This window comes from Homo sapiens, chromosome 2 (genome assembly GCF_000001405.40).
Source record: "Homo sapiens chromosome 2, GRCh38.p14 Primary Assembly".
Classification (NCBI taxonomy): domain Eukaryota; kingdom Metazoa; phylum Chordata; class Mammalia; order Primates; family Hominidae; genus Homo; species Homo sapiens.
The window spans coordinates 42541022-42567093 of NC_000002.12; the positions used below are offsets into that span (position 1 = coordinate 42541022).

The window sequence follows — 26072 nt, forward strand, 5'->3', positions numbered from 1 at the left end:
TTACTTCAAATTTTTTTTTTTTTTTTTGAGATGGAGTTTTGCTCTTGTTGCCCAGGCTGGAGTGCAGTGGTGCAATCTCAGCTCACCGCAACCTCCGCCTCCCAGGTTCAAGTGATTCTCCTGCCTCAGCCTTTCTAGTAGCTGGGATTACAGGCATGCACCACCATGCCCGGCTAATTTTGTATTTTTAGTAGAGATGGGGTTTCTCCGTGTTGGTCAGGCTGGTCTCGAACTCCCGACCTCAGGTGATCCACCCGCCTCGGCCTCCCAGAGTGCTGGGATTACAGGCGTGAGCCACTGCGCCCAGCCCAAATTTTGAATTTTGGTCTTTTCCCAGGCTTATTGTGATATTCTTTTGTGATGATGGGCAGTGGCAGGAAGCTGTAGCTCCTGGTCAGCCACACAATCATGAGGATACACAACCTGTAATGTACTCTACAGTGTACTGTTCTCAATACATTCCATGAGATAGTCATCACTTTATTATAAAACAGGCTTTGTGTCAGATGATTTTGCCCAACTGTAGACTACTATGTGTTCTGAGTGTGTTTAAGGTAGGCTAGGCTTAGCTGTGACACTGGGTAGATGAGGTGTATTAAGTGTGTTTTTGACTTACCATGGATTTACCCAGTGGTAACCCCATCATCAGTTGAGGGGCATCTGTAGAGTCCTGTGCCATTCAGTAACCTTGTTTCAGTCACAGTAGCAATTGATTAGGTTATAGCTGTCAGTATATCCCTTCCAGTCCTAAGGATATGCTCCAGCCTCTTGCTGGGATTTAGGTTATTTCCCAAGTCTTCTCAGTAATACCTATTCAAACCACTTCTTCCCTTCAGTCTCTTGTCCAGATGGCTACTGTCAATTAGAGAGGGCTCTGTGGCTGTGAACAATGGAAGCCTGCTCAGGCCAGGAATACTGAACCCATGGGCCCAAAAACCAGCCTCAGGAGGGATTGAAATCTAGAACTAGAGGGTTGTGAGGAGCCAAGGCAGCAGTTTTCTGGGCTTTTCAGTGTGTGTGCTGTCTCCTTTCTGGAACTACACTGATAATCCCTGCTTTATTCTGCTTTCTTTGCAAATGGGTTTGCTCTATGCCTAGATCAAGTATAGACTCACAAGTCTCCACTCCATTCCCAGACTCTTGAGTAACTGACCCATAGGAGTCAGGGGTCTTCCCGTACGCCAGTCAGCTAGGGACAGGGGAGCGGGGTCCCAAATAATACACATGGCCCTGAGCCCATCTCTGCGAAGGGGATGGGAATGTGGGTGAGTTATCAGACAATGCAAGTCGTGGGCTTTCTGTTACGTTATAATCCTATGGAGAACTTCTTGTTATAGATACCCATATGTGAAGAAAAGACTGGTACTGAATACCAAGGATATATTAGTCAGGGTTCTTTAGAGGGACAGAACCAATGGAATATATATATTCAATCAAGTTGACACTCAATATTAACCGTCACACGTACACCCCTTGTTAGCTTAAACCCTTACACATCTCCTGAAATCATACATAATCTTTTATTTTATTTATTTATTTATTTATTTTGAGACGGAGTCTCACTCTGTTGCCCAGGCAAGAGTGTAGTGGCATGACCTTAGCTCACTGCAACCTCCACCTCCCGGGTTCAAGCAATCCTCCCACCTCAGCCTCCTGAGTAGCTGGGATTACAGGTGCCTGCCACCTCACCCAGCTAATTTTTTTTTTGTATTTTTAGTAGAGACAGGGCTTCACCATGTTGGCCAGGCTGGTCTCAAACACCTGACCTTAAGTGACCTGTCCACCTCAGCCTCCCAAAGTGCTGGGATTACAGGCGTGACCCACTGCACCCAGCCCATAATCTTCAAATAAAGACAATAATAAGGTCATATTTACGCCTAACATAATACAACTATCCTTCATACAACCAGAAACACATCAATCCCCAACCCAAACTATTAAGTCTCCCCGAGGAGTTTGGGGCTGGGGTTTTTAAGAGTTTTGGGGTAGGCAAGAAGTGTGGAGAGTGTTGATTGGTCCAAGAGCTCAGGACAAATTCTTAGGACAGGGAGATGAAGAAACTGTATTCTCATGCTGATTCCATTTCTCTGTGGGAGTCTTTAAACTGGGTGGCATCAACTGTTTGCTGGAATTCAGGATCTGAAAAACATCTTAAACAATTTTTTTTGTTTTTTGAGACAGAGTCTCCCTCTGTCGCCCAGGCTGGAGAGCAGTGGCGCAATCTCAGCTCACTGCAAACTCTGCCTCCCTGGTTCAAGCGATTCTCCTGCTTCAGCCTCCTGAGTAGCTGGGATTACAGGTGCACACCACCATGCCCAGCTAATTTTTGTATTTTTAGTAGAGGTGGGGTTTCACTATGTTGGTCAGGCTGGTCTCGAACTCCTGACCTCGTGATCCACCTACCTCGGCCTCCCAAAGTGGTGGGTTTACAGGCGTGAGCCACTGCTCCCAGCCAACAGTTCTTTTTATGTTTGTTTGTTTGAGACGGGGTCTCACTGTGTCACCCAGGCTGGAGAGCAGTGGCAATTATAGCTCATTGCAACAGCCTGGAACTCCTGGACTCAAGCAATCCTCCCACCTCATCCTCCCAAGGGACTGGGACTATACTCACTTGGGAGGTTACTGATTTTTTTTTTTTTTTTTTTGTACAGACAGGGTCTTACTCTGTTGCCCAGGCTGGTTTCAAACATCTGGCCTCAAGCAGTCCTCCCTCCTTGGCCTCCTAAAGTGCTGGGATTACAGGCATGAGCCGCTATGCCTGGTCTTTAAGCAACATTTTAAAAAATTATGTATCTAACATATACATACATTAAAAAATATATATATATATTTTGTTCATTTGTTTTTAATTAGAGACAGGGGTCTCACTATATTGCCTAGGCTTGTCTCAAACTCTTGGGCTCAAGTGGTCCTCCTGTTAGAGAAACAGGAAGATAGCCGAGCCAAGGTGACACCATTTTAAAATCAACTCCATCTTTAAACTAGAAAGACACATTCCTTGCCAGTCCTCCCCATGGTCATAAGATGTTTATGACTAAGGAAGCAGTTTAGTTCGCCTGCAAGGACAAACTCCTATGACAGCAGAATGTCCAGATGTCTCCTGCTATCACATAACAGTATATGCTTCTAAGATAGTTACAGTCTGGCCTGGCACGGTGGCTCACGCCTGTAATCCCAGCAGTTTGGGAGGCCAAAGCAGGCAGATCACAAGGTCAGGAGTTTGAGACCAGCCTGACCAACACAGTGAAACCTCGTCTCTACTAAAAATACAAAAATTAGCTAGGCATGGTGGCACGTGCCTATAGTCCCAGCTACTCAGGAGGCTGAGGCAGGAGAATCGCTCGAACCCAGGAGGCAGAGGTTGTGGTGAGCCAAGATTGCGCCACTGTACTCTGTTGCCAGCTTGGGCAACAGAGCAAGACTCCATCTCAAAAAAAAACAAAAACAAAAACAAAAAAAAAAACATAGTTATAGTCATGCTTTGATGTACTTAGGCACTAAAATACCAAAAATAACTTTTTTTTTTTTTTTCTTTGAGACAGGATCTTGCTCTGTCACTCAGAGCAAGTGTTGGCCAGGCTGGTCTCAAACTCCTGACCTCAGGTGATTGCCACCTCGGCCTCCCAAAGTGCTGGGATTACAGTCGTGAGCCACTTTGCCCAGCATTTTTTTAAAAAAAACAGTGATATTCCTTGCTACTTTAAGCAATTATTAAACAAAACCTTATGATTCTGACATCAGAAATTCTATCTATAGGAAGAATGAGGAGGATGCAAATGGTCAGTATCTCGTGCTATATGGCTTTCAGTTACAAGGAAGTGGGTCAAGTACAGCCTGATTAATGCTTAATTTTAACTATATTTCTGTCTAGAATTTTTGTTAACCCTGTAAGGACAACTTCACAGCTGGCATTTTGACAACCAGCTAATATCTGACCTTAAACAGCCCATTCTTTGAACAACATAATTGTTTGTTTAGGACTCACAAAGTTTAGTGGCCTCCAGCATTCCAAGTCCAGGTGATGAGAGCTGCAGAAAACAGCTCAGTCATGAGACCATTAAGATTTTGAATCCCAACCAGGCGTGGTTGCTCATGCTTGTAATCTCAGCACTTTGGGAGGCCAAGGCAGGAGGATCACTTGAGCCCAGGAGTTTGAGGCCAGCCTGGGCAACATAGTGAGACCCTGTCTCTACCAAAAGTACAAAAATTAGCTGGGTATGGTGGCACACGCCTGTACTCGCAGCTACTTGGGAGGCTGGGGTGAGAGGATCACTTGAGCCTGGGAGGCTGAGGCTGCAGTGAGCCGTGATCATACCACTGCATTCCAGCCTGAGCGACAGAGAGAAACCTTGTCTCAAAAATAAAATTAGAAGAAGAAAAAAAAAGGAACCTAAGAAAACACAAGGCATTGTCAGTAACTCGGGAGAGAAATGCTCTAGGTAAGAACTAGGGCAAGGAAGGCTATGTTTGAGGGATGGAAGGGAGAGTGGGAGGTTCCCAGATAGAATCAATGAGTTGGAGTTAAAAATGTGTGAGTGTTTCGGGGGTGGGACAGCAGAGGAATCTGGTTTCTTATGTGTAAAATAAGGGTATAAGGCCTACCTCATTAGATAAAATGTGTAAAGCTTCTAGTTTAGTGCCTGGCACATGGCAGGTTTTCAAGAGGGTTTAAAGTTGACACATCGTTTTCAATAGATTGCATGATGTGTACCTTAAAGAAGCTTGGGATACAAAAGCAGATAGCTTACATACATGGATGGACATTGAGGCTCATGGATTTCAGACTGAGGTTCAGGTTAAGATTCCTGATTAAGCCCTGACCTGAGATCTCCATACTTCCTACTGTGCCACGCTGCAGTTGGAAGGCCTTCAGACTGGAAATTCTGGTTATTGAAATTCTCTTAAGATGGGTATCTGGAACGTGCCTTCCCAGAAAGATTTCAAGAAATGAAAGACAGGCTCCGCGTTAACACTAATCGCAATGATAATGGTACTATTTAAAAGCAGCTTCCCTAAGCCACTCCTGAAAGGGCAATTGGCTGATCCGGGAATTCACTCTTTAGATAACCTGGTAGGGAAGGGAAGGAGGGAGGGAGGACCTTAGATTTTTAATAAGAAACCATTAACTTCAGCTAACAGCAATAACAATGGAGGCGCCTGGTGACTGCTGGCACTTAAAATATAAATGGAAAACACAGGGCACCTCGGATTTCTCCATTGTTACATGCTAATGAAGTGGCTCCACTCAAACAAAGGCCCCAGGAGAAATTAGTGGAGGGTGTGGCCTGGCCCCACACTGAGGAAGAAGCCTGTGTAGGATGCTGGCAATCTCGGTTCCAGAATTAGGATGTCCTTGTCTGCTCTACTTGGTTTTCTGACCCTGAGTGTCCCTGGACCTGTTTCTTTCAGTAAAATGTGTATAATCAAATCCAGGGGTGGTCATCCCCTGCCATCTAACCTGGCAACTTTGGTCATCCTTTTTCTAATCAAACCAAAAAGAACTGAAAAAAATTACTTGCAGTTTCCTATGTGCACTCCATCTAGAGGCATTTCTAGTTGGTCACTTTTTTCTAGTCAAACTAGAGGCGTTTCTAGGTTGGTCATTCCTAGTTGGTCATCTTTTTTCCTGGTCAAACAAAAAAGAACTGAAAAAAATTACTTAGAGTTTCCTACATGCACTCTATTTAGAGGCATTTCCTGGTTTTATTCCTTACGCATGTTGCAAGACTGCACCCAGCATCCGTGTTCATATAATCTGTGGCGGTAACAGAAGGGGTCTCTATTCTCAATGTCTCACATTTTGGTAGGAAATAGGACATGTGGGCAGACAGGAGGATGAATGTGATCAGGGTGGGACATGCAGGCAAATAACGATACAATGTGGCAGAATGAGACACTTGTCACAGGGATCTTATTGCTAGAGCTTTACAGAGGTGGTAAGAAACTGCGTAGGGAGCTAGCAGGGGCTAATCTGCCAGGCTTCACGAGGATGTGGACTTTAAACTGCAGAGGTTCCCCCCACTACTCTCTGATGACTACAGTCTATGGAGGAACTTTATAAAATACAGATTCCCTGGCCCCTCCCCCAGAGACAGATTTTGTAGGTCTAGGGTGGAGTCTGGAAGTCTACTGATAAAAATCTCAGCTGAATTAAATGAACAATTCGCCAATCGGGCAGCCGGCAGAATCACAGCAGATTCAGAGACTCCAGCCACGTGGTGTAAGATTTACAGACAAAAAAAGGAAGTGATGAACAGAAATAGGACGTGAGGTACAGAACAGCTGGCTTGGTTACAGCTCTGCGTTTGCCTTATTATTATTTCTGAGACTGAATCTTGCTCTGTCGCCCAGGCCGGAGTGCAGTGGCGCAATCTCTGCTCACTGCAACCTCCACCTCCTGGGTTCAAGCGATTCTCGTGCCTCAGCCTCGTAAGTAGTAGCTGGGATTACAGGCACGCGCCAACGCGCCCGGCTAATTTTTGTATTTTTAGTAGAGTCAGGGTTTCACCATGTTGGCCAGGCTAGTCTTGAACTCCTGACCTCAAGTGATCCGCCCGCCAAGGCCTCTCAAAGCGCTGGGATTACAGGCGTCAACCCCCGCGCCTGGAGGCATTTGTCTTATTTGAACACTCAGCAGTTGAAGTATGGCTTCTGGGACTGGCCAAGACTTAGCTATTGTTACAGGCGCATACTCCTAAATTAGGTTTTCAATCTTGTCTATTAAGCTAGGTTGCAGTTCGTCCACGAGGACTCAAATAAAGAAGTACAGAGTCTTTCTAAGGCCATATTTAGTTCGCTTTAACGCGACTAAGAAAAATAAGATAAACTGCCCTGTGGTCCTGACTTAGCTATTGTTACAGGTGCATACTCCTAAATTAGGTTTTCAATCTTGTCTATCTATTAAGCTAGGTTGCAGTTCGTCCACGAGGACTCAAATAAAGAAGTACGGAGTCCTTCTAAGGCCATATTTAGTTAGCTTTAAAGCTACTATGAAAAATAAGATAAGCTGCCCTGTGGTCCTGATGGTCAGCCCAGTTTGGAGGCCACCCATACAGTAGAGAGGCAACCCCAAATAACCCGTGACATTACAATCATCCCCTCTTATCCGTGGTTTTGTTTTCTGAGGTTTTAGTTAACCTGAGGTCTAAAAATATTAAAGGGGGCCGGGCGCGCTGGCTCATGCCTGGAATCCCAGCACTTTGGGAGGCTGAGAGGGGCAGATTGCTTGAGGTCAGGAATTCGAGACCAGCCAGGCCAACATGGCAAAACCCTGTCTCTACAAAAAATACAAAAAATTAGCGGAGCTTGGTGGTACTCACCTGCGATCCCAGCTACTCAGGAGGCTGAGGCACAAGAATTGCTTGAGCCTGGGAGGCAGAGGTTGCAGTGAGCCGAAATTGCTCCACTGCACCCCAGCCTGGGCAGCAAAGCAAGACTCCGTCTCAAAATATACGTATATACATAAAATTAAAATGCAAATATTAAATGGGCTGGGCATGGTGGCTCACGCCTGTAATTCCAGCACTTTGGAAGGCTGAGGCGAGAGGATTGCTTGAGCCCGGGAGTTCAAGACCAGCCTGGGCAACATGGCAAAAACGCCATCTCTACAGAAAACTCTATCTCCACAAAAATTAAGCCAGGTGTGGTGGCACACACCTGGGGTTCCAGCTACCCAGGAGGCTGAGATGGGAGGATCACCTGAGCTGGGGAGGTTGAGGCTGCAGTGAGCTGTGATTGCCCCATGGCACTGCAGCCTGGGTGACAGAGTGAGACCCTGTCTCAAAAAAAAATATATATATATATATATAATATATATATATATATAATATATATATATAATATATATATATATATAATATATATATATATATCAGCGGGCACGGTGGCTCACGCCTGTAATCCCAGCACTTTGGGAGGCTGAGGCAGGCAGATCACCTGAGGTCAGGAGATCAAGACCAGCGTGACCAACATGGAGAAACCCCATTTCTACTAAAAATACAAAATTAGCTGGGCGTGGTCGTGCATGCCTGTAATCCCAGCTACTCGGAGGCTGAGACAGGAGAATTGCTTGAACCTGGGAGGCGGAGCTTGCAGTGAGCCGAGATCGTGCCATTGCACTCCAGCCTGGGCAACAAGAGCAAAACTCCATCTTAAAATATATATATAATATATATATGTATATAATATATTATATTTGTATATATTATATATGTATACGTATATAATATATTATATATTATATACGTGTACGTATATATGTAATATATAATGTATATGTACACGTATATAATATATAATATATTATATACGTATACGTATACATTATATATTACATATATACGTATATACGTATATAAAATATATGTATATATTATATATACGTATATAATATATATTATATAATATATAATATATACGTATACATATAATATATTATATATACATATTATATATTATATATTTAAATTATATATTATATCATATATAATATATATGATATAATATATAATATACATATATTACATAATATATATTATATACATATACATATATAATATATAATATATTATATACATATACATATATAATATATAATATATTATATACATATACATATATAATATATAATATATTATATACATATACATATATAATATATAATATATTATATATACATATTATATATTATATATTTAAATTATATATTATATATGTATATAATGGAAAATTCCAGAAACAAATAATTCAGAAGTTTTAAATTGTGTGTAGCTCTGAGTAACATGAAATCTTGGGCCACCCAACTCCGTCCCACTGTAAGATGAAATCCTGTGCCACCCAACTCCGTCCCACCTGGCACATGCATCCTCCCTTCCTCCAGTGTATCCAGGCTGTACCTGCTCATTAGTCACTTAGTAGCCTTCTTGCTGATCAGATTGATTGTTGCTGTATCACAGCACTTGTGTTCAAGGAACACTTATTTTACCTAATATTGGCTCCAAAGCACAAGAATAATGGTGCTGGCAATTCAGATATGCCAAAGAGCAGCCATAAAGTATTTCCTTTAAGTGAAAAGGTGAAAGTTCTCAGCTTACTAAGGAAAGAAAAAAACTGCAAGCTGAGGTTGCTAAGATCTACCATAAGAACAAATCTTATAGCTATGAAATTGTTAAGAAGGAAAAATAAATTCATGCTGGTTTTGCTGTCACACCTCAACCTGCAAAAATTATGGCCACAGTGCATGATAATTGCTTAGTTAAGATGGAAAAAGCATTAAATTTGTGGGTGGAAGACATTAACAGAAATGTGTTCTGACTGCTAGCAATCAAGTTCAGTACTATCCTTGGTTTCAGCATCCACTGGGGGTCTTGGAAAGCATCTCCGAAGATAAGGTGGGATTACTGTACAATACAGTAGTGTAATGGAGGTGTTAGTGCTCTGGGGAGGAGGTTTTGTATATGCTGAGGGGTTCACCCAATGGAGCAGCAGAAGGAAGGAGGTCAGGTTGTGGAAATGTGGGTGCAAGGCTTAGGCCAAGGAAAGCTCACGTCCTGCTCAAGGAGCTAAGGGTGGCTCAGATTTGGCAGAGTACATGGGGAGAAAGGCGCTGGGACAAGAGACTGGGAAGGGGAACTGGGGGACAGATTGTAAAGGGCTATCCTTGAATATTGTGCTAAGGAATGTGGACTTGATGGTGGAAGTACTGGTGGAGCAATGAAGATATTAAAATTCATGATAGAGGGCCAGGCACAGTGGCTCATGCCTGTAATCCCAGCACTTTGGGAGGCCAAGGTGGGTGGATCAACTGAGGTCAGGAGTTCAAGACCAGCCTGGCCAACATGGCGAAACCCCATCTCTACTAAAAATACAAAAATTAGCCGGGCATGGTGGTGCACACCTGTAGTCCCAGCTACCCCAACTACTTGAGAGGCTGAGACAGGAGAATAGCTTGAATCCAGGAGGGGAGGTTGCAGTGAGCAGAGATCGCACCATTGCACGCCAGCCTGGGTGACAGAACCAGACTCTGACTAAATAAATAAATAAATAAATAAATAAATAAATAAATAAATTAAAATTTATGATAGAATAGTAGATGAAGAAGACTTTCTCTCCAAAACAGCTTTGAGCTCGGGTCATTCATTTGATCAGTGAATATTTCTTTTTTTTTTTTGTTTGTTTGTTTGTTTTTTGAGACGAAGTCTTGCTCTGTCGCCCAGGCTGTAGTGCACTGGTGCAATCTTGGCTCACTGCAACCTCTGTCTTCTAGGTTCAAACAATTCTCCTGTTTCAGCCTCCCGAATAGCTGGGATTACAGATGCACACCACCATGCCTGGCTAAGTTTTATATTTTTAGTAGAAATGGGGTTTCACCACGTTGGCCACCCTGTTCTCGAACTCCTGACCTGAGGTAAACCACCTGCCTCAGCCTCCCAAAGTGCTGGGATTACAGGCCTGAGTCACCACGCTGGCTTTATTTCTCAAGTATCTTCTATCTGCCAGGTGTGCCCTTGAGGAGACTGCAGTACATAAAACAGACAGACATGCCTCTTCTCAAAGAGCTTACATTTTAGTGGGAAAAACATATTGTAAGTACAATATATGGTATGTCAGGTGTGTTATGGAGAGGAATAAAGCGGGAGAGAGTGACACAGAGTGCTGGGGAGTTGAGCAGATATTACAATGTTAAATAGGATGGGAAGGGAAGACTGCACTGAGGAGGTAATTTTTTTTTTCTTTTTGAGATGGAGTTTCGCTCTGGAGTGCAGTGGTGCGATCTCGGCTCACTGCAACCTCCGCCTCCTGGGTTGAAGCAATTCTCTGCCTCAGTCTCCAGAGTAGCTGGGATTACAGGCACCCGCCACCACGCCTGGCTAATTTTTTGTATTTTTAGTAGAGACGGGGTTTCACCATGTTGGCCAAGATGGTCTCGATCTCTTGACCTCTTGATCCACCCACCTCGGCCTCCCAAAGTGCTGGGATTACAAGTGTGAGCCACCGTGCCTGGCCTGTTTGTTTTTTAATAGAGATGAGGTCTCCCTATATTGCCCAGGCTGGTATCAAATTCCTGGGCTCAAGCAGTCCTCCCACCTCTGCCTCCCAAAGTGGGAGATGTATTTGAGCTGTCAAGCCGGTGAGGGAAGTTTGGGGTGAAGCAGAATTGCAAAGGCCCTGAGACTGGTGTGTGCCTGGCATGTCTAGGGAATAATCAGACCAGTGTGGCTGAGCAGCAGTGAGCTGGTAAAGAGATAAAGGCCACAGCCGAGAAGTAAGGGGAGAGGTATGAATCAGATGGGATTTGGTTATTCCTTCCTGCCCTTTCTTAGATAAATTAATGAATAATACAAGTGAATCTGAGCTCATCAGCAAATTTAGAGCAGACTATGAAGATGCTTGTCTTAAAACTTTCTCTCACTTGGACTATTGAAAAGGCTTTTTAAAACTAGACTCCTAGCCCCAGGGGGTGGTGGCTAAAGCCTGTAAGTAATCCCAACACTTTGGGAAGTGAGGTGAGAGGATCCCTTGAGCCCAGGAGTTTGAGGCTGCAATAAACGCCCAGATGGCACCACTGCACTACCACCTGGGTGATGGAAGAGACTCCTTGTCCAAAAAAAAAAAAAAAAGAAGAAGAAGAAGAAAAAGAAAAAAGAAAGGGCCAGGCGTGGTGGCTCATGCCTGTAATTCCAGCATTTTGTGAGGCCGAGGTGGGCGGATCATGAGGTCAAGAGATAGAGGCCATCCTGGCCAACATGGTGAAGCCCCGTCTCTACTAAAAATACAAAAATTAGCCAGGTGTGGCGGCACATGCCTGTAGTCCCAGCTACTCGGGAGGCTGAGGCAGGAGAATTGCTTGAACCCAGGAGGTGGAAGCTGCATTGAGCCGAGATCGCGCCACTCCCCTCCAGCCTGGGCGACACCGCAAGACTCCATCTCAAAAAATTAAAAAAAAAAAAAAAATCAAAGAAAGTTCTACTCCGAGGCTGAGTATGATGGCTCACACCTATAATCCCAGCACTTTGGAAGGCCGAGGCAAGAGGATTGCTTGAGGCCAGGAGTTTGAGATCAGCCTGGGCAACATAGGGAGACCCTGTCTCTACAAAAAAATTTTTAAAAAATTAGGCTGGGTGGGCCGGGCGCAGTGGCTCAAGCCTGTAATCCCAGCACTTTGGGAGGCCAAGGTGGGCAGATCACGAGGTCAGGAGATCGAGACAATCCTGGCTAACGCGGTGAAACCCGTCTCCACTAAAAATACAAAAAATTCGCCGGGCATGGTGGCGGGTGCCTGTAGTCCCAGCTACTCTGGAGGCTGAGGCAGGAGAATGGCGTGAACCCTGGAAGCGGAGCTTGCAGTGAGCCGAGATTGCGCCACTGCACTCCAGCCTGGGCGAGAGAGCGAGACTCCATCTCAAAAAAAAAAAAAAATTAGGCTGGGTGTTGGGCCAGACACGGTGGCTCATACCTGTAATCCTAGCACTTTGGGAGGCCGAGGCGGGCATATCACCTGAGGTCAGGAGTTCGAAACCAGCCTGGCCAACATGGAGAAACCCCGTCTCTACTAAAAATACAAAATTAACCGAGTATGGTGGCGCATGCCTGTAATCCCAGCTACTCGAGAGGCTGAGGCAGGAGAATGGCTTGAACCCAGGAGGTAGAGGTTGCAGTGAGCCGAGATCACGCCATTGCCCTCCAGCCTGGGCAACAAGAGCGAAACTCCATCTCAAAAAAAAAAAAGATTGACTCTAATTTCTTGAAAAGCATCATGCATACTTGAGACTTCTTTGAAATGAGTACCTGAAATGAGCTGAGATTGTGCCACTGCAGTCCAGCCTGGGCGACAGAGCAAGACTCCATCTCAAAAAAAAAAAAAAAAAGAAAAAAAAACGAAAGAAAGAAAGAAGGAAGAAGAAAAAAAAAACAAAACAAAAAACTAGTTATCAGCGGGCATGGTGGCTCACGCGTGTAATCCCAGCACTTTGGGAGGCCGAGGCGGGTGGATCACCTGAGGTCAGGAGTTTGAGACCAGCCTGACCAACATGGAGAAACTCCGTCTCTACCAAAAATACAAAAATTAGCCAGATGCTGTGGTGCATGCCTGTAATCCCAGCTACTCGGGAAGCTGAGGTACGGGAATCGCTTGAATGCAGGAGATGGAGTTTGCAGTGAGCCGAGATCACGTCATTGCACTCCAGCCTGGGCGACAGAGCAAGACTCCGTCTCAAAAAAAATAAAGTAAAATAAACTAGTTATCTATTCATGCCTACCTCTCCTCTTCCATTGGATGGTGAACTCCTTGAGTCCCAGAACTCCGTTTCATTTATCAAGGTAACCTAGACTATGGTGCTCGATGTAAGAATCACAATAAGTGTTGAACTGAGTTGAACTGATGCATTTGTATTTTCTGCAGTTATTTCCTTTTCTTTCCTAAATTCTGATAAAAGTTAATTTGGAAAATGTCAGCCTGTCTCAGCTGTTCTTAGAGGAAAGAAGGAAAAGGGCACTTGTTCATGCAGAGACTGAGAAAAAGCACATCCCTGGGGGCCAGGGATAGTGACTGCTGTTGAGATGCAAGTGAGGGACCCCACAGGGAGGGAAAAAAAACAGCAGGGAAAGCCAGCCCGAATGACAGCTGTTTCTTTCTACATGAAAATCTCCTTTTGAGATCTCCTCTTTCCTCAAATCTGGAGGGTGGTGGATATTCTAAATAGAGGGACATGCTCCCTCACAGCCTCTCTGAGAAGGGTCTCCCCAGTGTTTGTGTGCAGCAGGTGGAGGTCAGCTTCCTGATTGGAACCTGTATCAGGTGGGATGGGAAGAATCACTACCAGAGGATGGGTTCATGGCTGCCTGACACCCTACTACCCTTCTTCCAGCTGATTAAAAGGATAATGGTTTGGGAGGCTGAGGCTTGAGGATCACTTGATGTCAGGAGTTTGAGACCAGCTTGGCCAACCTGGTGAAACCCCGTCTTCACTAAAAATACAAAAAAATTAGCTGGGCATGGTGGCAGGCACCTGTAATCCTAGCTACTCGGTAGGCTGAGGCAGGAGAGTCGCTGGAACCCAGGAGGAGGAGGTTGCAGTGAGCCGGGATCTATGCTACCGCACTCCAGCCTGGGTGACAACTAACATAGGAAAATGCAGTAGCACAGTTATTTTGAGAAAAGGAGGCCGGACATTGTGGCTCATGCCTGTAATCCCAGCAATTTGGGAGGCCTAGGCGGTGGATTAACTGAGGTCGGGAGTTCGAGACCAGCCTGACCAACATGGAGAAACCCCATCTCTGCTAAAAATTAGCCGGGCATGGTGGTGCATGCCTGTAATCCCAGCTACTCGGGAGGCTGAGGCAGGAGAATTGCTTGAACCCAGGAGGCGGAGGTTGTGGTAAGCTGAGATTGCACCATTGCACTCCAGCCTGGGCAACAAGAGCGAAACTCCATCTCAAAAAAAAAAAAAAAAAAAAAAGAGCCGGGCGCAGTGGCTCACACCTGTAATCTTAGCACTTTGGGAGGCCGAGGTGGGCAGATCACGAGGTCAGGAGATCGAGACCATCCTGGCTACCACAGTGAAACCCCATCTCTACTAAAAATACAAAAAAAAAAAAAATTAGCCAGGTGTGGTGGCAGGCGCCTGTAGTCCCAGCTACTTGGGAGGCTGAGGCAGGAGAATGGCATGAACCTGGGAGGCGGAGCTTGCAGTGAGCCAACAGGGTGCTACTGCATTCCAGCCTGCGCAACAGAGCGAGACTCCGTCTCAAAAAGAAAGAAAGAAAGAAAAGGCCAGGCACGGTGGCTCACGCCTGTAATCCCAGCACTTTGGGAGGCCAAGGAGGGTGGATCACCTGAGGTCAGGAGTTCGAGATCAGCCTGGCCAACATGGTGGAACCCTGCCTCTACTAAAAATATAAAAAGTAGCCAGACATGGTGGTGGGCGCCTGTAATCCCAGCTACTCAGGAGGCTGAGGCAGGAGAATTGCTAGAACCCAGGAGATGGAAGTTGCAGTGAGCCGACACAGTGCCGCTGCATTCCAGCCTGGGCGACAGAGCGAGACTCTGTCTCAAAAAACAAAAGCAAACAAACAAAAAAAAAAACAAACAAAAAAAGAGAGAAAAGGAGATGGAGCTCCCTGGGGAAAAAAAAAGCAGCCTGAGGCATGCAGCCAGCCTGACTGTTTGGGTGTCTCCCAGTCTCATTCTTCTGCTTCTCTATCTCCCCTCCTGTACTCCTACTCCAGAGTCTCCCGAAAGCCTATAGATCTGCTCCAGAGAGGAAGCTGGGAGCTGATTCTGGAGGAGAGCCCTAGACCAGGGCCCCCAGCTTTCTCTTATGCTCTGGAAAGTGTTTACCAAGTGCCCAGCCTTGAAGTCATTTGTGACGCTCTCTGCCTTACTGAAGAAAAATGGGTTTTGCCTCAATTCCTCAGTCCTGTTTAAATATTTAGTTTAATCAGCACTGGCCCAAGTGCCTTTTCCATTTCCCCCAGTGCCTGGGAGCCATGCTGACACCAGCATCATAAATAATGCATCCGATCCCAGCAACATGCCACTGGCCGGGAGTCACTCCCTCCCTCAAGTCTCCCAGCCTGCCCGATGCTGCAGATGCTTTGGGTAAAGCTCGACCAAGATGGAGAAGTCAGTCTTGAGCCCTGCAACCTTCAGCCAGAAAGCCACTCCTGGAGGGAGTCAGTATGACAAGCAAGTGGTCCCCATGCCAGCCCAGATCTGAGGGGCCTTTGAGGGGCTGTATTGGTGGGGGGAATGGGAAGAGGTAGAAGCACCAAGGCCACAGAGTGTTCAACTCTACCTTCAGCATTGCTCTGACCTCATGGGGAGACTTCAGGGCCCGTTAGAAAAGGTCTGACTTAGGCTCTGTGTGAGTATAGAGCAGAGGACAAGGGCACCCGATTTCCAGATTTCAGGAGCCAGCCAAGATCAAGGGCAGAGGAAGGAGGCCCTACGAAACGCTGGAAACTTCTCTCCTCCTTCTGCCTCCAGAATTCTAGCTTCTAACATGGACTCCACCCTTCAAGAACACAGTCCAAAATATATATACCTACTTTGTGCCCACAAAATTTAAAAGAAAAGACCAGGTGAGGTGGCTCACGCCTGTAATCCCAGCTACTCGGGAGGCTGAGGCAGGAGAATTGCTTGAACACAGGAGGCGGAGGTTGCAGTGAGCAGATATCGCACCACTGCACTTCAGCCTGGGAGGAGCCGAGATCGCGCCACTGCACTCCAGCCTGGGCAACAGAGAGAGACTTTGTCTCAATATAAATAAATAAAAATTTAAAAATTAAGAAAAAAAAAACACAGTCCAGATTTTTCTTCATTGTTCTAGAAGCCTGGAGGGGGTGGGGTAGGGTGGGGGAGTCAGGGCTTCCAGAAGACGTACATTATGTCTCCTCTTACAGAAAGGAACCAATGACAGGTTTTGGCTGGACGGATTCTGGGTGTCCTTTACCAAAGCCTCGAAAAGGTCAAACTGCCTCCAGGTGTCCTGCTCAGTGCTCTGATCTGTGCAATTAAACGTGAAACATTGCATTAGTTGCCACTAATAATATAGTCCTGACCTGGCTTTGTAAAAGCAGCTCCTTGAAGTGTCTCTGTAATACTCATGCTTTTTTCCTCCAAAAATTTACAGAGATAAAAGGAGACATAAACAATGATTTATTTATCTAGGACTTCGAAGTTTAGCTTGAGCTCTCCAACATTTTCAGTCCTTTTTGAAATCAAGAGTGCAAATAAACTTCCCTCTGTCTCTTATAGAAAGGGCAGTAGCTACAAACCTACAGATAAAGATAAAAGGAACTGATAAAAAGAGCAAATTCTAGTCTCTATTCCTCAGTCTGGCAGGGGATGTGGGGGGTTCATGAGTCCCCTCTCTGTGTCCTTGGAGTCGTCTACACCATTGGGTATCTCAGGCCAACCCTACCAATTTATTTTGAGCTGCCTAGCACCTGAAGAATCAAGAACCACCAAGGAAAGATGGCAGGGGAGTTGGTATTCATTGGCCACCACTTTGCCAAATCCAGTGTTGATTTATTATTACTCTTGCTCCAGTTTGTCGGTTGGACCACTCCCTTTTTCACTTGGCTTTTGGGACCGGTACTTCCCTGACATTTTTCACACCTCCCTCAATGCTCCCTAGTCTCTCTTTATGGCTCTCCTCCTGATCACTACCTGCATAGTTCTCAATTCTTGGCTACACTGTGGAATCACCTGAGGACTTTTTTTTTTTTTTTTTTTTGAGTTGGAGTTTCGCTCTTGGTACCCAGGCTGGAGTGCAATGGCATGATCTCGGCTCACTGCAACCTTTGCCTTCTGGGTTCAAGCGATTCTTCCTCTCAGCCTCCCAAGTAGCTGGGACTAACTGGGACTAAAGGCATGTGCCACCACGCCTGGCTAATTTTGTATTTTTAGTAGAGATGGGGTTTCTCCATGTTGGTCAGGCTGGTCTTGAACTCCCGACCTCAGGCCATCTGCCCACCTCGGCCTCCCAAAATGCTAGGATTACAGGCATGAGGCACCACACCCAGCCTTTAAAAAAATTTTTTTTTTTTTTGAGACAGAGTCTCACTCTCTCACCAGGCTGGAGTGCAGTGGCATCATCTCAGGTCACTGCACCTCCGCCTCCTGGGTTCAAGCAATTCTCCTTCCTCCCAAGTAGCTGGGACTACATGCACACGCTGCCACGCCCCGCTATTTTTTTTTTTTCCATATTTTAGTAGAGACGGGGTTTCACCATATTGCCCAGGCTGGTCTCAAACTCCTGAGCTCATGCAATCCGCCTGCCTCAGCCTCCCAAAGTGCTAGGATTACAGGCGTGAGCCACCGTGCCCGGCCTTTTTTTTTTTAACTAAAACCCATGGACTACTCCAAACTAATTAAATCAGGATTTCTTGGGGTGGAGCTCAGCCTTGTCTCAGTAGTTCCCCTGGAGCAGCTAGAGTAGAGAACCAACCTTTGCTCTCAATGTTGGCTTGCCCCAGGGCTCAGGCCTCTGCCCTCCTCTCCACCCACACTCCCTCTCCTGGCAGGTAATCTCACCAGTCTCCAGCTTCCTCCACTGTCTATGTGGTGGTGACTCCCAGATTTGTATCTCTAGTCTAGGCCTCTCTGCTAAGTTCCAGAGCCCAGATCCAGTTGTCTATCTAATATTTCCAAACACATGTCTATAAGCACCTGGGAGTCCCAACAAGTTTGTTTTGGGCTGGGCGCAGTGGCTCACGCCTGTAATCCCAGCACTTTGGGAGGTCAAGGAGGGTGGATCACATGAGGTCAGGAGTTGGAGACCAGCCTGGCCAACATGGTGAAACCCTGTCTCTACTAAAAATACAAAAATTAGCCAGGCGTGGTGGTGTGCGCCTGTAATCCCAGCTACTCTGGAGGCTGAGATGGGAGAATTGCTTGAACCTGGGAGGCGGAGGCCGCAGTAAGCCGAGATCATGCCACAACACTCCAGCCTAGGCAACAGAGCGAGACCTTGTCTCAAAAAAAAAAAAAAAAAATTTTGTTTTCCCATTTCATCTCTTATATTCAATCCTTCAGTAAGAGCTGCTGGCTCTGCCTTAAAAAATATATCTCTGGCCAGGCGCAGTGGCTCACGCCTGTAATCCCAGCACTTTGGGAGGCTAAGGCAGGTGGATCACCTGAGGTCGGGAGTTCGAGACCAGCCTGACCAACATGGAGAAACCCCATCTCTACTAAACACAAAATTAGCCAGGCGTGGTAGCGCATGCCTGTAATCCCAGCTACTCTGGAGGCTGAGGCAGAAGAATCACTTGAACCCGGGGCGGGGGGCGGGCAGGGGGGTGCGGTGGAGGTTGCAGTAAGCCGAGATTGAGCCGCTGCACTCCAGCCTGGGCAACAAGAGCGAAACTCCATCTCAAAAAAAAAAAAAACTCCATTGGCCGTGACAGCTACCATTCTACTCCAAGTCTTTGTTACTTCTCTCTTCCTTGAAATATGTCAATCTCCTATCAAGTCTTCTTGTTTCTCTTCCTGAGGGTTCATACTCTGCACAGCAGTCCAAGTGATTTTTTTTATTTTTAATTTTAATTTTTATTTTTTGAGATGGAGTTTTGCTCTGTAACCTCCGCCTCCCAGGTGCAAGCGATTCTCCCGCCTCAGCCTTCTGAGCAGCTGGGATTACAGGTGCACGCCACCACGCCCGGCTAATTTTGTATTTTTAGTAGAGATGGGGTTTCACCATTTTGGCCAGGCTGGTCTTGAACTCCTGACCTGAGGTGATCTGCCTGCGTCGGCCTCCCAAAGTGCGTGAGGCACTGTGCCCGGCTGATTTTTTTTTTAAAACTGCGTCACTGGCAAGTGAGCTTTTAAAAACAAATCAAGCTGTGGTTGGTGGTGGACGCCTATAATCTCAGCACTCTGGGAGTGAGCGAGTGGATCACTTGAGGTCAGGAGTTCAAGACCAGCCTGGCCAACAATGCGAAAGGCTTGAACCCGAGAGGCAGAGGTTGCAGTGAGGTGAGATGGTGCCACTGCACTCCAGCCTGGGCAACAGAGTGAGACTCCATCTTAAAAAAAAAAACAAAAAACAACAAAACAAAAAACAAACAAAACACACACACACACACACTCAAAACCCCAGGGCGTGGCACGGTGGCTCACACCTGTAATCACAGCACTTTGGGAGGCTGAGGTGGGCGGATCACCTGAGGTCAGGAGTTTGATACCAGCCTGGCCAACATAGTAAAACTCCATCTCTACTGGAAAAAAAAAAAATTAGCGGGGATATGGTGGCGCATGCCTGTAATCCCAGCTACTCAGGAGGCTGAGGGAGGAGAATCATCTGAACCTGGGAGGTGGAGGTTGCAGTGAGCTGAGATCTAGCCACTGTACTTCAGCCTGGGTGACAGAGCGAGACTCCATCTCAAAAACAAAACAAAAACCAAATTAAGTCTCCATTATTCCATGTTTAAAAACTTCTAAAGGCTTCCCACTATATTTAGAATAAAATCCAAACTTTTTACCATGGCCCACCGGTCCCTATGGGATCCTGACCCTATTCACCTCCCTGACCCCATCTGCTCTCCACACTGGCCTTTCCATGTCATGATCAGGTCAGGCTGCTTCCTGATGTGGGGAACTTGCACTTTTTCCCTCTGTCTGGAATGTTGCTCTCCAGATGTCCCAAGTGTTCACTCTATTTCATTATTTTAGTTTCTTTTCAGTTCTTAGCATATACAAAAGGCCTTCCCTTACCACCATCATCACTTTTTGTTCTCTGATCTTGATTTACTCTCCTTGTAACATTCATCATTCTATACTAGCATATCTGTTTATTTATTTATTTCTTTTTTTTTTTTTAGATGGAATCTCGCTCTGTTGCCCAGGCTGGAGTGCAGTGGCACAATCTTGGCTCACTGCAACCTCCATCTCCCGGGTTCAAGCGATTCTCCTGCCTCAGCCTTCTGAGTAGTTGGGATTACAGGTGCCTGCCACCACGCCTGACTAATTTTTGTATTTTTAGTAGAGACGGGGTTTCACCATGTTGGCCAGGCTGGTCTCAAACTCCTGACATCAGGTGATCTACCCACCTCTGCCTCCCAAAGTGCTGGGATTACAGGCGTGAGCCACCGAGCCCGGCCCCAGGTGTCCTTTTCTCTTAGCACTAAGCCAACCATGTCAGCTAGGAGGAGAGACAAACCAAGGTGAGTTAAACATGTTGACTGTTTCAAGGGATTGAGTAGGACTTAGATAAAGTGGTGAGGGGGTCCCCTTCTTTCTCTGTGTATTTCTCTTTATTCTATTATTCTGTTTCTGTGTCCCTTAATCTGTGTATACTGTATACTGCTCTAAGTGTTTTCTGGGTGACTCTATGTTTACTTAAAATTGAAAGGTGGATACCATCTGTAGGAGTTTCCTAAGGCTCCTGTAACAAATTACAACAAATTGGGTAGCTTCAAACAATTCATTCTCTCACAGTTCTACAGGCCAGAAGCTTGAAAGCAAGGTGTCAGTAGGGTTAGTCCTGGAGTCTCTGGGGGACAATCCATCCCATGCCAGTGGTTGCTGGCAACCCCTGGCACTCCTTGGTTTGTAGCTGCATAAGTCCCATCTCTGCGTCTCCCTTCACAGGGCTGCCCCCTTTTCTCTGTGTCTTTCTTCTTCTGTCTCTTATAAGGACACATGTCATTAGACTTAGGGTCCATCCTAATCTCAGGATAATCTCATCTTGAGATCTTCAGCTTAATTATATCTGCAAACACACTTTTTCCAAATAAGGTCATATTCGCAGGTTCTGGGTGGGCATGTCTTTTGGGGGGCCACCATTCAACCCACTACATCATCTTAGAGGCAAGAGGGTGAGGTAGGAATGAGTCAGATTTGCTTTTTCAGGCTGTGTCCCTTTCCGTCTCCTTCTGTTCTTTCCATCTTCCCTCCCCCTCCCCACCCCAGCTGCTTTTCAGGGCTGGGAAGAAGGAGTGAGGGTTGAGGCAGAACCTTCTGTGGATGCTTGCTGACAATTTTTCTAGCTAGTCCTAGTGAGATGGTCAGCACAGGCCATTCCCCCTTGGTTTCCCGGTCTGCCTTGGGCAGTGGCTTATGTGGCTCTGCCCACACTCTGCCTATTTGCACATTTGCACCTGGACTCTGATCTCCTGAACCTGACCTGCCAAACCTGTTTCCACCCAACCTGAAGGACTCAGGGAACCTGCTTCTTTCCCTGGGGCCAGGGTTTGGCTTATTCCTTAGATTGGCTGGGCTCTGGGGTGATGGTAACACCAGAAGTGGCTATTTCCAGCTCAGAGCTCCCTCCTAAACACCAGGCCTTTTCATCCAACTGTTTCCCAAAGAGAAGACATCTACCTGGATATTTCCAAAGGCACCTCGAACACAACCCTTCCAGCACAGAACCTGTCCACTATCCTCTTCCCCAACTTGCCTTTCCTCCTGTATGCTTTACTCACTGATCTCTACTTACAGCTCCCCATAAGCCTTGTCACCACCCTTTCACCTCGTGCCTCCCTAGAGTCACCAGATCGGATCTTGCCTCCTACATCTCTCTAAAACCATCTACTTATCATAACCCACTGCCTCTACCCTAGGCCAGACCACCACCCCTTCTCACCAACCTCCCAACTGATCTGGTCTGGAATCTCCACCCTTTCTAATCCACTCTCTGTACTGCAGTCTGAATCATCTATACAAACACCTTACTCCCTGTAACATTCCTTCAACACTTCCCATTGATTCTTTTTCTTGACCCTACAACCTCCACCTCCCAGGTTTAAGCGATTCTCCTGTCTCAGCCTCCCAAGTAGCTGGGATTACAGGCGCGCGCCACCATGCCTGGCTAATTTTTGTATTTTTAATAGAGACGGGGTTTTGCCATGCTGGCCAGGCTGGTCTCAAACTACTGACTTCAGGTGATTCGCCTGCCTTAGCTTCCCAAAGTGCTGAGCGTGAGCCACTGCACGGACCAACCATTTATTTTTATTTATTTTTTTGAGACGAAGTCTCACTTTTCGCCCAGGCTGGAGTGTGGTGGTGCCATCTCAGCTCACTGCAAGCTCCACCTCCCGGGTTCATGCCATTATCCTGCCTCAGCCTCCTGAGTAGCTGGGACTACAGGTGCCCGCCACCACACCCAGCTAATGTTTTGTATTTTTAGTGGATATGGGATTTCGCCATGTTAGCCAGGACGGTCTCGATCTCCTGACGTCATGATCTGCCCACCTCGGCCTCCCAAAGTGCTGGGATTACAGGTGTCAGCCACCATGCCCGGCCTGGACCAAACATTCCTTCCTTCCTTCCTTCCTTCCTTCCTTCCTTCCTTCCTTCCTTCCTTCCTTCCTTTCTTTTTTGATGGAGTTTCGCTCTTGTTGCCCAGGCTGGAGTGCAATGGCGCGATCTCGGCTCACTGCAACCTCCGCCTCCCAGGTTTAAGCCATTCTCCCGCCTCAGCCTCCAGAGTAGCTGGAATTACAGGCGTGTGCCACCACGCCCAGTTAATTTTTTGTATTTTTAGTAGAGATGGCGTTTCACTATGTTGGCCAGGCTGGTCTTGAACTCCTGACCTCAGGTGATCCGCCTTTGCCTCCCAAAGTGCTGGGATTACAGGTGTGTGCCACTGTGCCTGGCCAACCATTTCTTATTCAAATCTACAGTAGTTAAAAAAGAGAAATAGTAGGGTCAGTTAGGTTAACCACCCAGAGGCTCATTTCTGTCCCCATTATGACTTAGTCCCTTTTCTACTACCTAAAGGTAATGTTACTAGAGAAGGAACCTTCTTGTGGAAGCAGCCAAATGGCTGAGCTAGCTCCCCTGTGAGGGCATGAGGGAACTATGGGATCCGAAAACACATACTGCCCGAAACCAAGACCTTTAGGGATTTCATGTTTTTTGCACAGGAGATCTATGGAAGAACCATCTCTATGACTAGAGAAGCTACAGAACTCCCAATTCTGTTTCCTTTCTCCTTGGGGCTCTTCTGCTTTGATTCTTGCCATCATATGCCTACACTTCTCTTGGGTTATGTTCCTCTGCCTTTAAAACCCAGGCCCTCCTTAGAATATGAGACAGACTGGCCTTTTCTGAAAGAATTTTACTAAATAAGAGAAGAAGTTAATGAAAGGAAAAAGAAGAGAGAAATAAATCATGGAAAACACGAACCAACAAGATAAAGTCCCTTTTCCAAAGCCTGGCCTCTGGTTTCAGATTAATTACATTTTAGACCTCCAGGCTCCTGTCCTGGGTTCAGTATGACAGAACTCCCAGACTGTGGCCAGCACCAATCTCTTTTAATTTATTTTTTTTGAGATGAAGTCTCGTTCTGTTGCCCAGACTGGAACACAGTGGTGTGATCTTGGCTCACTGCAATCTCTGCCTCCTGGGTTCAAGCGATTCTTCTGCCTCAGCCTCCTGAGTAGCTGGGACTACAGGCGCTTGCCACCATGCCCGGCTAATTTTTTGTATTTTTAGTAGAGATGGGTTTTCACCATATTGACCAGGCTGGTCTCGAACTCCTGACCTCATGATCCGCCGGCCTCGGCCTCCCAAAGTGCTGGGATTACAGGTGTGAGCCACCGCGCTCAGCCAACCGGCACCAATCTCTTTTTATTTTTTCGCACATATAAAAACTCCATCCCTACGTTGAGACAAAAACCAACTCTCCATTTTACCTATTCACCTAAAGCTTTCTTTTTTTTCTTTTGTTTATTTATTTTGAGACAGAGTCTTGCTCTATTACCCAGGCTAGAGTGCAGGGGCATAAACATGGCTCACAGCCTCTACCTCCTGGGCTCAAGCGATTTGCCTGCCTCAGTCTCTTCCAGAGTAGCCAGGACCATAGGTGCGCACCAACTGGCTAACTTTTTTTTTTTTTTTTTGGTAGAGGTGGGGTCTTGCCATGTTGCCTAGGCTCAAATGATCCTCCTGCCTTGGCCTCCCAAAATGCTGGGATTACAGGCGTGAGCCACCATGCCTAGCCACCTATAGCTTTCTTGCTGCATCCACTTCTCTTCAACTAAATGGTAAAGAACTACCTTGTATGTGGTTCTTTAATTGCAACAACTGTGCAAGGAAATTTCATCCATGGAAGGGCTGGATTTGCCCTGGGATTTCTGGCATGGCCTGAGAGACACTTCTTCCTTAGTGATGAGAATAACTGGAATAGAGAGAAGGGACCTAACGCATATGAAGCGCCCAACAAGTGCCAAACACCTTCTATATTTAAATTTTACCAGGCTGGGCATGGTGGCTCATGCCTGTAATCCCAGCATTTTGGGAGGCTGGGCAGGCAGATCACTTGAGGTCAGGAGTTCCAGACCAGTGTGGCCAACATGGTGAAACCCTGTCTCTACTAAAAATACAAAAATTAGCCAGACGTGGTGATGGGCACCTGTAGTCCCAGCTGCTTGGGAGGCTGAGGCAGGAGAATTGCTTGAGCCTCGGAGGTGGAGCTTGCAGTGAGCCGAATCCGAATCGTGCCATTGCACTCCAGCCTGGGCAGCGAGAGCGAAACTCCGTCTCAAAAAAAATTTTTTTTTCTACCATAAGCCTTTGAGGTAGGTATCAACCAGTAGTCATATTTTGTAACCCCTCTTGAGGCTCAGAGGGGTTAAGTAACTTGCTCAAGGTCTTTATAGTTAAACTGCCAAACTAGGAGTGAAGTTAGGGCTGGTTGATGACAAGTTTGTGGTCTAAACCATGTAGCTAAGAAGGGAGAGGCGCCTTTGCTTTTTTAAAGGTGCAGGCTTTCCACCCGTCTTTGGTTGAAAGGTTTCTTTCAATCTACAAACATTTGCTGAACTCCTTTATGTGTGAACCTCTCTGGAATTAGGACATATAAAAGTTTCACAAAGTCCTTGTATTCAGCTCTTCTGATTCTTTGAGTCCACGATTTGTTGGTATTTATTCTTCAGATACTGAGCATCTACTGTGTCAGCTCAGAAATGTAGAGGACATTGGCCTAGGAGCTGGACATGGAAGAGACTAATATATAGAATCTAGAGCAAAAAACGGTTCTAAGGCCTGCCACCATCATTACCTCCTGCTAGTCCCCTTCAAGTCTTTGAGGCCTTTCATGGGGGGCTTCTGGATGAGGCTGTTCCTAAGGGGACATAGGGAGGAGTTTTCTCGGCATCTTTCACCATTTATTGTGGTTAGCACAGTCATCATAAACACCTGGCAAGAGCACTAAGCTTGGGAAATGAGACAGGCACACAATGAATTAACAAAAACAGGGAAAGATTTCGAAGGAGGAGAAATTGCTTATGAAAAATTAATGGGAAAACATCCTAAAGCTTGTGATCCACTTCTTTGCACTTTATGGTTTCTAGGTGGCTTTTGTACTTGGAGAAACACTGTGGTTCAGAACATTCTAGGCCAGAGGAAAGGGCTGATTCATAATCCCAAAATTGCTGCCAGTTTACTGTGTGATTCCAGGTGAATTATTCAACCCTATTTATGTGTCAGCTCAGAAATGGAGTGATGTCAGTTTTGTCAGAATGTTTTTGGTGGGATCTCTGGTAAATGTTGAATGACAGCTATGCAATGTGTGGAACAGAACACTTTTGCTTTCTTCTTTGGGTCAGAATTTGACACATGGCTCAGA

General features: G+C 46.1%; 1 protein-coding gene across 1 annotated transcript in view, besides 3 other annotated features; it reads left to right on the forward strand.

Moving 5' to 3' along the window:
* The window catches only part of MTA3 (metastasis associated 1 family member 3), a 262837-nt gene that overhangs the window by 46912 nt on the left and 189853 nt on the right, over positions 1–26072 (forward strand). The gene's annotated exons all lie outside the window — the stretch shown is intronic.
* Positions 4576–5462: an enhancer, noted in NCBI's record as "OCT4-NANOG-H3K27ac hESC enhancer chr2:42772737-42773623 (GRCh37/hg19 assembly coordinates)". NCBI's record gives its function as "activates a minimal SCP1, AML or CMV promoter by ChIP-STARR-seq in naive H9 embryonic stem cells {active_cell/tissue: H9 hESC(naive)}" and the evidence as "EXISTENCE:reporter gene assay evidence [ECO:0000049][PMID:30033119]".
* Positions 6358–6863: an enhancer, noted in NCBI's record as "H3K27ac-H3K4me1 hESC enhancer chr2:42774519-42775024 (GRCh37/hg19 assembly coordinates)". NCBI's record gives its function as "activates a minimal SCP1, AML or CMV promoter by ChIP-STARR-seq in naive H9 embryonic stem cells {active_cell/tissue: H9 hESC(naive)}" and the evidence as "EXISTENCE:reporter gene assay evidence [ECO:0000049][PMID:30033119]".
* Positions 19165–19214: an enhancer, noted in NCBI's record as "active region_15649". NCBI's record gives its function as "activates an Ori minimal core promoter by ATAC-STARR-seq in GM12878 lymphoblastoid cells {active_cell/tissue: GM12878}" and the evidence as "EXISTENCE:reporter gene assay evidence [ECO:0000049][PMID:35858748]".